The 14,556-nt window shown below is 50.3% G+C and overlaps 1 pseudogene; it reads left to right on the top strand.

Annotated features, from left to right (window-relative positions):
• Positions 13,131-14,250, top strand: NDUFB10P1 (NADH:ubiquinone oxidoreductase subunit B10 pseudogene 1; annotated as a pseudogene).

Raw genomic sequence — 14,556 nt, 5'->3', positions numbered from 1 at the left:
CTCCCAAAGTGCTGGGATTACGGGCATGAGCCACCGTGCCTGGCTAGAAAAGAGGTTTAATTGGCTCACAGTTCTCCAGGCTGTAAGGAAGCATGGCCCCAACATCTGCTCATCTTCTGAGGAGGCCTCAGGAAGCTTATGATCATGGCAGAAGGTGAAGGGGGAGCAGGCACGCCACATGGCAAAAGCAGGAACAAGAGAGACAGCTGGTGGTGGGGGGTGCCACAGACTCTTCAATGACCAGGTCTCACAAGAATTCACTCACTATGATGAGGACAGCACCAAGCCATGAGGGATCGGCTCCCATGATCCCAACACCTCCCACCAGATCCCACCTCCATCACTGGGGATCACAATGCAACCTGAGATTTGGGCGAGGACAAATATCCAAACTATATCAAGCATCTTCCTTCCCCTTTCTCCCTTCCCCTCCTGATTCTGGGGAGAAGAGGCTGCTGTGTGTTTCTGAAGGGCTGAGTGTTCTCACCCACCCCCAACCCCCCAAGTAAAGAACTCTTATGTTTCAGGCCCATGGGGTGTGGGGAGAGGTGGTCCCAGAGGAGCAGGGCGTGAGATTGGCAGCTTTAGTTGAAGAGGCTGGGATAGATAGGGGGGCAGGGGTGGTGGTCTCAGCAAATGGTGAGGAGTGAGGGGGAAGGGTGTCCAAGGCTGCTCAGGGGGTGGAGCATGAATACCCAGAGGCTGAGCTTCAACTCATCAGCACTGCTCCCGGGGACCACAGTGACTGAAGAGTGAACCTCTGAGCAGTGCTCAGGGCGTCCTGAGGCCCGGAGAGCCAGTTCTCTGAATGGTGCAAGACCCTGTCAGGTCCACAGGACCCCAGAAGCCAGGAAGCACAACAAATTGGATTTCCGCCCATGCTGAGTAGATGGGAGCTAGAAAACCAAAGAAGGCCAGGTGTGTTGGCTCACGCCTGTAATCCCAGCACTTCGGGAGGCCGAGGCGGGCGGATCACTTGAAGTCAGGCATTTGAGACCAGCCTGGCCAACATGGTGAAACCCTGTCTGTATTAAAAATACAAAAATTAGCTGGGCATGGTGGCATGCACCTGTAATCCCAACTACTTGGGTGGCTGAGGCATGAGAATCTCTGAACCTGGGAGGCAGAGATTGCAGTGAGCTGAGATTGCACCACTGCACTCCAGCCTGGGCGACAGAGTGAGACTCTGTCTTACAAAAAAAAAAAAAGAAAAAAGAAACAAAGAAACAAAGAAAAAGAAAATCAATGGCCCTTGCGCCAGAGTGTCTTGGAGGGAGTCCACACTGACACGCCCACGGGGGGAGCTGCTGAAAGCATTCCCCAGTCCAGTGCTGCCCCGTGAGCACCGCCACCTGTTTCCCGCTTTCCTGGCCACCGTACATACATTTGTTCATGTTTATAGACTCTGAATATAGAGACCCCACACAAGAAGAGAAAGGCTCAGAAAAACAATGTTATGACCTGCTTCCTGAGGCACCCTGCCTGCAGGAAGTGCTTTTCACAGCAAGAAATTCTGACTCCAGGACCCATATTTTTAGCAGGAACATGGTCAGTCAACACACATCCTCTAGGCCTGCCCTGGACCAGATGACCAGGAGGAAGCAGCCGTGAGTCACAGGGAGAAAGCCGGTGGCTCTGACAGGGACGCCTGCTGCTCCGCCGGGGAACAGCTTTCCCCTGGTTTCAGTTAGAAAGGTCAGGGGACGCCTGACCACACAAGGCTCACGGGAACTGTGGAGGGCGGCCCCTCAGGCCACAATCAGCAGGTGCCCACCATGGCTTCTCTCCTGGCAGGTGAGGACTTCAGTTTTTCTCCATGGCTTGGCTCACCTGTTCTCTTATTCTCAGAGCCATAATCACCCTCCTCCTGCCCCAGCCTGGAGCTCTCTGAGACCCTCCACTATAGTAACCAGCACAGCCTAGAGAGGGTAAATCCTCCGGTGCCCCCAACATCCCACCTTCATGTTGCAGCGAGGCCCAAAATGTCCCAGAAGAAAAACAAACTCCATCGCACACCAAAAACCCACCAAAAAACGTGAAATCACCTTCATAATTTGGGAAGTATAAACATAGTTCTATTTGTTCTGTAACGTATTTTTCATGATCAGGAAATGAAGACAAAGAAAGGCTTTGGGAATTGTTTTATGGAGAGGACACCATCTTCCAGGTCCTGCCAGCTCAGGGCTCCCATCTTTCAGCCCCTCCAGAGCTGAGCCCGGAGGGCTGGGGCCGCCCTCTCCCTGCTCCTGAGCCACAGAAGCCCAAGGCTGGCCCTGAAGACCTAACAGCCTCAGGCATTTGCAGCCCCCTTGGCCTAAAAGGGCTGTTAAGAGAGGTGCAGACGTGGGCCCTGCCCATTCACCCTCAGAGGAGGTCGCGACTTCCACCCCAGCAAGAGTACCCCTAGGACTGTGGAGTGCAGAGGACAGCGACCGTTGACTAGGTACCTGGTGCAGGGTCTTGCCCTCCCTCCCTGTAGCCCGATATGGGAAGGGCCACAGTCCAAGTCCATGTTCATGCTGCTCCTCCAGGAGGCCTTCCCAAACATCTTCTCGATGCCGAGTAACTCACAGATCCCATATAGAAATAGACCTTGGAAGGGATCTCTCTTCTTGCAAATGAAGAAACTGAAGACCAGAGATGTACCTCAAATCACACAGCGAGTAACCGGCAGAGCCAGGAGGCTCCTCTGCCCCCAGGCCAGAGAGGGCTTGCAATCTGGCTTCCGAGCAGTGGTTCCCAACTCCCGGGCCATTACAATCACCTGGGATCCCCACCAGTGGAATGACTCTCTGGGGGTGGTGCTTGGAAGGCTGGTGGTGGTGAAAGTTCCCCTGGTGATTCTCATGCAGCCAGATTGGAGAACCCTTTAGATTCAGGCATGGAGGTTCCACCTGGTTCCAGATCACATGGCCATTTGGTCTCAAGAAAGTCACAGCCCTCCTGAGTCTCACTGGCAAATTGCTACGTAATAACACGCATCTTCTTGATAAGGAACCGATATAAGGATCCAGACCCTGGACCTCCTCAGGAAAACAGAGCACGCATTATAAGATACAATCGAATAGGAGAAGTTTTTCATAAGCTTGGAGGGCTATGGTTATTGGATTCAAAAGAATAGTTTTCTCTCTTGTCACATAACAATTTGAAAAGTAGTAATACCCATTCTTTAACAGAAGTGTATTTGGGGCCAGTTGCGGTGGCTCACACCTGTAACATCAATACTTTGGGAGGCCAAGGTGGGTGGATCACTTGAGGTCAGGAGTTTGAGACCAGCCTGTCCATCACAGTGAAACTCCGTCTTTACTAAAAAAACAAAAATTAGCTGGGTGTGGTGGCGCATGCCTGTAGTCCCAGCTACTAGGGAGGCTGAGGCAGGAGAATCACTTAAACCCGGGAGGTGCGGGTTGCAGTAAGCTGAGATCGTGCCACTGCACTCCAGCCTCGGCGACAGGAGGGCAACCCTGTCTCAAAAAAAAAAAAAAAAAAAAAAAAGCCTATTTGGAATCAGTCCCCTCCCACGGGGACCTCTTTCAGGAGGTCAGGCCACAGCACCGTGGCAGGCATGTGGTAGCCCCTCCATAAATGGCTGAGCGAGTGCAGTTGAAGTGGGAGTCTGGTGTTCTTTGAATACATCCTGCTGCATTGGAAGAAGCCTGTGCAGGACTAGACAGTTGGCCTTCTGTGGCAGGCTCTTGCCTCCAGGCCAGTTGAGTGAGTGCAGATGTCCCGAGAGACCAGCAGTGCAGCCACACCCCATGGGACTGTGAGGCGCTCTCACAGTGAAGACCAAGCGCAGGTAGCACTGGCTTTGTGGTTCGGAGAAAAGTCGACACTCATTTCCTTGGGGAAAAAAAGTATTTATCAAAGGAAGTCTTTCCCTCTTGGCAAAAAAAACAGAGACAAGTAATTTCCTCCAGCAGTCTGAGCTGGGATTTGGGGGCAAATAACCATTAAACAGAGACACCTGAGGTGCACAGATGGTCACTGTGGCAAAGGTCGGCTGAAGAATAATAGGTAATAGGGAGCCACTGTGGGTTCTTGAGTGGAGGAGGGGCATGATAAAGCAGGGCTGGAGAGCAGAGGGAGAACGGTAGAGCAGAATGTCACAAGGTGCTGGGGCCCTGACTCCCTAAGTGCAGGAAACTGCTGAGTCTTGAGGTCACTTGAGCCTCCTCCTGCCTCTCTGATAGCTCCCACCTGCCACCCCCACAGGCCACACGGTCCAAATGTCTCATCAACTGCTAGCATACGCTAAGCAGAAGAAAGCGTGTGGCTGTCCCATTTTTTATGCACCAAGCCGTGAGGCCAGAGGCACCACCCCTCTGCTTGGAGGATTCTGAGGGTGGTGGTAGTTGTCATCTTTCCAGGGAATGTGTGGCCTTCTAGAACCTAATAATAGTGATAACCATAACTGCCGCTTATGGAGGACACTCATGAGACTCTCGTCTGCCTGGCCTCACCCTGACATGGAGGCTCCCCGACCTCACCTCGGCTACTCTCCCCTCACCCAGTGTGTCCCACTAGTGGGCCTGATGCTGTCCTTGGCTTGCTCCTACCTCACACCTGCTGTTCCAGCTCCCTGGGATGCTCTTCCTCTTGGTGTGCTCATGGCTCCATCCCTGAATTCATTCAGGTCCCTCCTGAAATGTCACCTTCTCTCTAACACAGCTCCCACCCATCCATGCTCCCTCTTGATGTTTCTTTTCACCGACCACACCTGACACATGTAGTTGTTCCTTTGCCTGTTGTCTGTCTCCAGCCACCCCACCCTTGCTGTGAGCTGCCCTGGAGTGGGCACTTTGATTGGTCACCACCACCTCCGCAGCGCTTAGAGCAGGCTTGGACTATCACAGGCACTGGATTAATGCACCTGTGGAGTGAGCACCCGCGAGGGCAGGGCCTGAGGACCGTTTGCCAACCCGAGATCAGGACCGTGGCAGACACTGACCCTATGAAACTGAGAGGCTGGATGGAGGTGGTGACCTCCAGAGGGCCCCTGCAGCGCCAGGACCCCTCACTCAGTCGGGGAAAGAATAAAGGCAGGCGCCTATACAGCTCCCTGGATCTCCTTCCTTCCTTCCTTCAGGACCCAGGCCCCAGTCCCTCGCAGGATAAGAAATGACTCATACTGGGCTCACTCCCGGCTCCTCCCTCTCCTGGCTTCCCCTCCACCCATGAGGCCACCCATCCTGACTGCTGGCATCCACCCGCCCTGTACTGCTTCCTCCCTGACCTGTACCCCCACTCGCAGGCACCCTTGTTCCGCATGCGTACGCTTGCTTATGGTTTGTCTTTCCATCTCCAGCCACACTGTCCCTAAGCAATATCATGTGAGCACACACGTGAGCCTCATATGTGACCTTACATATTTTAGTAGCCACGTTTTTAAAATACGCTCCTGCAAGCTCAAACAGGTAAGTAGCCACCACATTTTTTTAAAAGAAGCATGGAAAATTATCTTTTACATACTTTATCTTTAACCCAATATATCCAAAAAATGTATAATTTCAACATGTGATCAAGACAGGTTGAGCATCCCGAATTAAAAAATCTGAGCTTTGAAATTCTCCAGAATCCGAAAGCGTTTGAGTGCTGACATGACACCGCAAAAGGAGAGTTCCACCCCTGACCTCATGTTCCAGGTCACAGTCAACATGCAGCCAAAACTTCTGTTTCATGAACAAAATTATTTAAAATTTTATATGAAGTTACCTTCAGGCTATGTATATACGGTGTATAAAAAACATATATGAATTTCATGTTTAAACTTAGGTCCCATCCCCAAGATATCTCACTTATGTATACACAAATAGTATTCCAAAAACAGAACAAATGCGAAATCCAAAACACTTCTGGTCTGAAGCATTTCAGATAAGGGGTACTCAACCTGGTTAAAGTATGGAATATTTTGCATTCTTTTCTTCTTACTAAGTCTTAGAAACTCAGTGTGTATTTCACACTCACAGCACATGTCAATGTAGAGTTAACCACAATTCACACGTTTAGTAGCCACAGCCAGTGGCTTCCTTCTAGACAGCACATGACTGAAGGGCAGGGACTCAGTCTCCCCTGTTGCTCTGGGTTCCTGGGCCCAGACAGGAGCATACAGGAGCCGGAGCGGGTGCTCAGAACATGGTTATGATGAAAAAAAGTAGAATGTTGGCCGGGCACAGTGGCTTACGCCTATAATCCCAACACTTTGGGAGGCCGAGGCGGGCGGATCACCTGAGGTCAGGAGTTTGAGACCAGCCTGATCAACATGGTGAAACCCTGTCTCTATTCTAAAAAATACAAAAATTAGCCAGGCGAGGTGGCACATGCCTGTAATCTCAACTACTCGGGAGGCTGAGACAGGAGAATCGCTGGAGCCCAGGAGGCAGAGGTTGCAGTGAGCCAAGATCGCACCACTGTACTCCAGCCTGGGCGACAGAGTGAGACTCTGTCTAAAAAAAAAGAAAAAGAAAGAAAAGTAGAATGTTAACGCATGGCTCAATCACTGGGTACCCCCGGAGGAGGGAGGCACAGTCCAGGTATGTGTGGGGGTGAATATGTGTCCCTGTGTGTTTGTGAGCTTGTGAGTGCCTTTGTAGTGTGCGTGGATGAGAGAGTTCGGAGCTCTGAAATCAGACAAACTGTATCAATCCACCTCTCCCCTTTCCTTTGGAACTTGGCTGTTTTTCTGTGAATATGGGGATGGGGACACCTTCTAATCACGGAATGCGGTTGGGAAGATTCAATGAGACGGTGCACACAAAAGCAGAGGGAGCTGACTGCACAGACGCTTCCTTTTCTCCCTTCCTCCTGCCTTCCAGCTCATGCACTTGGTCATTGTGCTGTGAGTAGAGTGCCCCATATATGCCAGGCCCCGTGGGCACTTGCTCACTGCTGTATTTCTAGCTCTTAGCACGGTGCCTGACACATAACAGGCGCTCAGCAGAAATATTTAGTGAGTGAGTGAATGAATGAATGGGTATCAGGGAGATTGTAGCTGCTGCAGCCGTCAGTGCACCCAGAAACCAGAGGAAGGCTCCCTGCTGCGGGAGAGCCTGGCAGGGTGAGAGGGATGGGTGCGGCTGTGCTGTCCTGGGACCCAGGCTGTGAGCTCCATCCACCTGTGTCCCCAGATCTGAGCAGCAGTGGTTTGCGGTGGGTACAGCTGTGGGGACTGCTCAGCCTCCCTGCTAGAGGTGGAGATGGGTTCTTCTGAGGAGCCGATCCTGATTCCCTCCTCCTCGTAACATTTACACTGCAGAACAAGGCCTCGGGGTTCAGGTTGTTTGGCTTTGGAAATGAGTAAAAGGCATCACCCAGATTTATTTCTAAAATGGGCCTGGAAAATGTTCAGGGAAGAATTTATTTTTGCAAGTAGGCTTCCGCCAGACACAGATTGTATCTTTTGGGAAAATGCTGTCCTGACTAATGAGGGAGGGGAGGCAAAAAGTAGGATCATGCGTTCTAGTTCAAGGCCATTGCTAAGCAGGGGTCTGGGGCTGTGAGAGTAACTGGGGGTCCAGGAGGGGCTTAGGACCCAGCCCATGGAGGCTGAATGGGGCTGCAAAGGGCATGGCCTGAGCACTTTTCTCCTGCGGAGGAGCCCTCTCTCTTACTTCGAGTAACAGCTCTTCTGTAAAGTCAGGTGGAAAGTGGATTACAGGATGTCGAATCCCATCTCCAATGCACCAGGAAACCCTCTATTTAGGGAGCGCATGGCTCTCCATCATCTGAGACAGAACTGCTTGATGAGCCTGAATGTGGCTCTAGTGCCTCATCCTTTCCATATGAACAGTGGCACAGGTTCTGCTAAGCAAGGATGAGCTCCCTGGGCAGAGGTCTCTCCTTCGAGGTGAGGAGCAAGCCGACCGCAGAATCCTCAGGGGCCTTAATCTCCCAGGGGCTCTACTGACACTGAAGGTGGCCATGGCAATACATCCACCTCATAGTAGCTCGTGATTGAAAAATGCATCAGGGAGGTCTGGGGAAAGTATCCCGTCAAAGAAGCCTGCCTCACTCCCCTTTGCCCTGTCCTCCTCCCTGGGCCTCTTCTGGGTGCTGGGGGAAGGGTGGGTGCAATGCAGCCAGCGTACAGAGGGAAGGTGCTGTGCCCAGGTTTTGCCCACATTAAGGGTGCACCATGAATGTGCCTTTGGCTAGTGGCTTCTTGCTTGTTCACCAGGATCTGGACACCCCAACCCATGGACCCCCAGTCTTCACAGTGGCTGTGGCCACTTAGTCTCTACTATCCAGTGTCCTGGTGTAGCCCCAGTCACCACCCCCTCCCCCCGTCCCTCCCGCCCTCCTAACAGCTGTGCGTCCTCTGCATTTCCATCCATGGTCCTGCTTCCCACCTATCCTGCACTCCATGAAGGCAGCAAGGGGGGTCTGCAAGCTATTTTCAAGATATCAAAAAGCCCAGAGGAAACCATACATTTACCTCAATGACGTTCCCAGACTAAATAAAACATTAAGTTTATTTGCTTTGGGCTGGAGTCATATCAACTCAGTGTGGCAACTATGGTTATCTTGACTGATCAGAAGCCCTAATTGGCCGTTGGATGTCTTTGATAAATAAAACTCAAAGAAATAAATTATTATTCAATAAATTGTAGTTTGTTAGGTAGTTAAAAGCCTTTAAAACATGGAATCCCTTGAGGAAAGGACTAAAAAGGTTCTTTTTGTGGTGAGAGGGGTGGGAACGTCTGATCTGCACCAATGTCATATTTGTATTAAAAAAAAAAAGCACACGCATTTTTCCATAACCCTCTGATGCCAGATTTTTCACTGGTGAGTTTGACGTCACAGCATTCCTACGAATAATATGTTGTTCATGCCCGCTTTACCCAGAGTGTGATTCACCAAACACTGCTAATAAGTGTTTCTTGGGAGTTCATACGAAAGGATCCGTGATCAAAAACGTTTGGGCGAAACTACTAAGCAAAATTAAACCATTTATTGTGGGATTCTTCAGGGTTAATAGAGAGAATCTGAATTGCAAATCCACGAGAAGGAGATAGAGGATGCGGCATCTCCAGCTGCTAGCCCCAGGATCCATTTTACAAAGCACTGTTTCAAGTAACAAGTGTTCCACCAAGCACACTTTGGAACACACAATGTTCCTGATATGATGACATAGGTGACTCAAGACCCCACTGACAGCCATAGGGACAGACAAAAATAAAGAGGAGGAAGAGAGATGGCAAGGCAGCTGAGGGGCAGAGGCGAAGGCAGGCCCCAGGACAGGTTGGGCATTCCGAGCATCCCTGCTGCCAGTGCTCCCAGGACTGGACACTTGCTCCCCTGCAGAATGGAGCTGCCAACAGGAGAGAAACGGGTGTGGCTGACAGGCCATGCCATCCCAGAGACGTGGACTCAAAAGAAATAGCTCAAGTGACCCCAGAAGGTTTTGCTTCATTTCATCTCCAGTCCTCATGTCATCGCCTGTGAAAACCACAGGAAGTGGGAGTGCACCTTACAAGCCACCGATTCCTCCCTTCTTCAGGCCCTCGGAATGACTCTTTCCTCCGGGGTCACCCAGCACCCGCGCTGGGCAGCACCCAGCTCTTCTGTGTGGCAGAAGAGCACACAAAGCCACCTCTTGGCTTGTCCACAGCACACACGACATGATTCTCCATGTACAGTTACGGTTGTGGCTATGTGACAGGTCCAGATGTAACATGAAAAATTAAGTGACACCTCCAGATGTTCCCTCCACATACACACAATTCCAAAGAGGCAAGAACCTGAATAGTGCAGAGAAGGCCAACATGGAAGGGGAGAGTGTTGGTGTGCTCCTCAGGAGGCCTTCTCCAGGCAGATGCACAGACATTGGGCTGGGTCTGCTTTCTGGACCTCCTTTGCAGGGAAAAAATGCAGCGCCTCCCCAGGAGAGAGGAGACAGTGCCTGGTAGGCAGCTGCACAGGGAAGGAACAGGGGAAAAAGGAAAAGGACACACATTCAACTCCCGTGACACACCAGGCCCTTTCACCCATACTCTTCTTTGTTTTTGTCTTCATTTTGAGATGGAGTCTTGCTCTGTCAATGAGGTTGAAGTGCAGTGGCGCCATCTCAGCTCACTGCAACCTCCACCTCCTGTGTTCAAGTGATTCTCCTGACTCAGTCTCCCGTGTAGCTGGGATTACAGGCACCCTCCACCACACTTGGCTAATTTTTGTATTTTTAGTAGAGACAGGGTTTCACTATGTTGGCCAGGGTGGTCTTGAACTCCTGACCTCAGGTAATCCACCTGCCTCAGCCTCCCAAAGTGCTGGGATTAAAGGCAAGAGCCACTGCACCTGGCCCCCATATTCTTTTATTTCAAACTCATAGATGACCAGGAAAGTAGCTTTATTACCCTCATTTTACAGATGAGAAACCAAGGCTCAGCAAGATCCATGGATAATTAATAAGGCTCTGTCTGGCTCCAAGCCCCACAGCTGCCCCCTATGCTACTCTGGCTCTAGGAAATCGGGAGACTTGATTTCCTTTAAGGAAGGTGGCTTCCCGGCCAAGAATTCTGTGAGAAGACCCGGGAGACACAGCAGAGAAGCTGAGGAGGGCTGTTTCAGAAGGAAGCTGACAAGTGCCTCTGTGATCCTGGCTTCCCCGGTGTCTGAGGAAGAGAACATGAGGCAATGGCAGAACAAACAGGCAGGTGCAGGCTGATGGCCCCCAAGGCTCTGGCCAGAGAAGAGGCCATGCCACTGACTCTTCGGGTTGTGCCATTTGAATTTGCACAGGCTCAGCAATGATGTGTTTTGGAAGTAGTTGAAAAGCTTCACCAGGAAGAATCTAGAAATTATTTCCGCTAGTGTTTTCTATTTGTGTGGAACTTTTCCCTCTGTATGCCAAATGCATATCTATATTCTCTTCTTATTCATGTGAACAGTCCTGGAGGTGATGAGTAGATAAGTAAGTAAGTAGCGTCTCCATCTGACAGATAAGCAAACTGCGGCGCAGGAAGCGAGGGAAAGACATCATTTACGCCTGACAACTGGCTGATGGACAGAACTCTTACTTTCCCGTCTTTGTAATGCAGGGCAATAAATATCTAGTCTAGAAACAACTCTAAGATGAACCACTGAGTGACCTGAATAGCTGAGCCCAGTTAACATCTGTAGTGGAATGAGGACTCCAGGCTCCCGGCACCAGAGTCCCAGTTTCTTGTCCTCCTGCCATCCCGTTTCTAGACTTAACTTAAGAAGTCACCTTCCATAGCTTCCAAAGGCTTTCCACGCCAAGTGGCGTCCTGTCTTTGGAAATGCTTTCTGGTGTACTGAGAGATGATCATCAAGAGTCACACTGACCAGGATTCAGTGACTTCATGCGCAAGCTATCTTCCTCCCAGTCAGTTTCTGGAATTTACCCAGAGGTCTTGTGGAACCACACGTCGATGACTGTTTAGTAAATTGACCCTGGCGTTAACGGTAAATTTAATGCCAGCACTTCTTCCCAGCGACCTTATTTGTTGAGTCAGACTTAATTCGATCACAATCTTTCTGAGATCAAGGATCCAAGTCCCTGGGTGGTGTGTCTCTGAGGGATTCTCAGACTGCGTACTGCAACTCAAATGCCTTAAGTGATGGGAAAAAATTCTGCCAATCAGCAGTTTGGCTGCCTTTAGTATTATTATCATTATTTTTTTACACAGTGAACTCAACCACGTACTTTGGAAGGCAGACATTAATTTACCATTAGTTTTCCATGAGTGTTGTCATCAAACACTGGTAGGATTGAGTGAAACTGAAATTCATCTGAAGGGGAAAACATTCTAAAATCTCTGATAGGGACAAGCAGCCAGGTTAGGGCAGCTGAATTTTGGAGCTCAGTGATTTCCATTTGTTATTGACACAACTTCTATTCTGTGAGAATAGAAAAGGGCTGATTATGAAGTTCCTTATCACATGTCAGTGACAGACACGACCGGCATTTTAAGACACAAGAAGAGAGAGTTATAGAGTTATCAAGTCATGAAGATAAGGAAAAAAGAAACAAGATACGTTAAAATAAATAAGCACTTTGGAGCCCACATCAAGTAAACAACTCTTTTTAATTAAGAAAGAAATTTAAAGCATGAAAGAAAAGAAAAGGGGCTTAAAGGCAATTTCTCTTAGTGTGAGGTATTTTCAGGAAAGAATTGGGGCAACCAAGGATTATTATTTTCTTAAGCTTTTGATTGAAATCTCAGACTTTCATCCCTTCTTCAGTTAGAAAATCAAGAGACCAGGCACTCAACCTCCAACGAGGGGAAACTAAAGGCTGAAAATAAGCTGAAGTTATACAGATTCCTGGGGGGCGGTCAGTGGGAGGGAGATGGCTGCTCAACCAATCTTCTTAGTAACCGGGTTTTTCCTGCCTGGCCTTCTGCCTTGGCCACACAGAACATCAGATCATGTCTGACTCCACACCTGCCCTTCCAGGATTCCTGCCAGAGCTGTCCCCTCCCAGCGGGCCAGCCTCAAGCCCTCCCTCCCGCATGCTCGGTCAAGCTCTCCTCCGTGCAGCTGCCAGGGGCAGCTGTCTCATGGCCACGTGTGGCTCTGCCCCCTGGTAAGAGCACAGACTCCTTGGGGCAGAGTCCATTTCTTATTCTTTTTTTTTTTTTTTTTTTTTTTTTTTTTTTTTGAGAGAGACTCTTGCTTTGTCGCCAGGCTGGAGTGCAGTGGCACGATCTTCGCTTACTGTAGCCTCCACCTCCCGGGTTCAAGCAATTCTCCTGCCTCAGCCTCCCAAGTAGCTGGGATTACAGGCACCCACCACCTCGCACGGATAGTTTTTGTATTTTTAGTAGAGACGGGGGTTTCCCTTTGTTGGCCAGGCTGGTCTCGAACTCCTGACCTCGTGATCCACCCACCTCGGCCTCCCAAAGTGCTGGGATTACAGGCATGAACCACCACGCCCGCCCCCTTTCTTAATCTTTACAGACATCCCACATACAAGACTGCTGAACTTGGCTTCTGAACAGTACAGGTAGTTCAGCTCCTTGCCAGGTAAAAAGAATTCACTAAAATCTCAAACATTAAAAAAAAAAAATCTGTTTTCCCATTGGGGAAAAAAACTCTCTTGGCTGCGTAGGGGTCCTTTATTAAGTCCACACCATGTAATATTACACAACCATTACAAAGAATCAGTAGGGACCGGGACCGAGGTGGAGGCCAGGGCAGCGCATCCAGGAGCGAAGTCCGCGCTCACTGCTGCCATGTGGGACAGCTGAGACAAGGATGTGTACCCTGCGCCCCCGCGCCACATGCCAGCACTGTCATCGCAGACTTGGCTGCCCAACCCCGTCGTCTACCTGATGAAGGCCTTCGACCTCCTAGTGGACCGACCGGCGACCCTCGTGAGAGTTTATAGAGTGGCAGCACGCAAAGAACAGGTATTACTACTACCACCGGCAGTACTGCCGCGTGCTGGGCATCACTGAGCGCAAGGAGAAGAACATCTTGTGTGTCAGGCCTCTGAGCCCAAGCTGAGCCATCATATCCCCTGTGACTGGCACGTACACATCCAGATGGCCTGAAGCAACTAAAGATCCACAAAAGAAGTGAAAATAGCCTTAACTGATGACACTCCACCATTGTGATTTGTTTCTGCCCCACCCTAACTGATCAATGTACTTTGTAATCTCCCCCACCCTGAAGAAGGTTCTTTGCAATTCTCTCCCCACCCTTGAGAATGTACTTTGTGAGATCCAGCCCCTGCCAGCAAAACATCGCTCCAAACTCCACCGCCTATCCCAAAACCTGTAAGAACTAATGATAATCCACCACCCTTTGCTGGCTTTCTTTTAGGACTCAGCCCCCTGCGCCCAGGTGAAATAAACAGGCTTGTTGCTCACACAAAGCCTGCTTGGTGGTCTCACGTGTCTTCACATGGACACGTGAAACACTGTGCATATATGAAGCCGAAATGCAGTGGAGGAGGGACTACAAAGTCGATCAAGAAATCGTCAATATTATCCAGGAGCGGCTCAAGACCTGTCAGTAGTGGGAAGAAGACAACTACAGGTAGAACTGGGCCAAGGAAGTGGAGCATTCACCCAGGTGGCCAAGGCTTACCAGGACCGCTATCAGGACCTGGGGGCCCACCATTCTGCCAGGAAGTGCCGGGCCAAACACAAGCAGAGGATGCTGGAAGAGAGAAAAGCTGCAAAAGAGGCCACCGCTGCCGCCTCCTGAGGCAGCTGTGGATGCCCCTGCTGTATGGCTGTGCTTGACTGTCTCTGTGTTGCTGAAATAAAACCCTGCAACCTGGAATAAAAAAATGAGTAAGAGGCAGGGCAAGGTGGCCCAGGCCTGTAATCCCAGCACTTTCGGAGGCTGAAGTAGGCGGATCTCTTGAGCTTAGGAATTTAAGACCAGCCTAGGCAACATGTCAAAACCCCATCTCTACAAAAAAATATGAAAATTCGCCAGGTTCAGTGGTGCATGCCTGTAGTTCCATCTACTCGAGAGGCTGAGGTGAAAGGATCGATTGAGCCTGGGAGGCGAGGCTGCAGTGAGCTGTGACTGAACCACTGCACTCCAACCTGGGCAAGGGAGTGAGACCCTGTCTCAAAA

This window comes from Homo sapiens, chromosome 15 (genome assembly GCF_000001405.40).
Source record: "Homo sapiens chromosome 15, GRCh38.p14 Primary Assembly".
In the NCBI taxonomy this organism is placed as follows: Eukaryota; Metazoa; Chordata; class Mammalia; order Primates; family Hominidae; genus Homo; species Homo sapiens.
The sequence above is the reverse complement of the archived record's forward strand: the minus strand, read 5'-3'. Positions and strand labels throughout refer to the sequence as shown.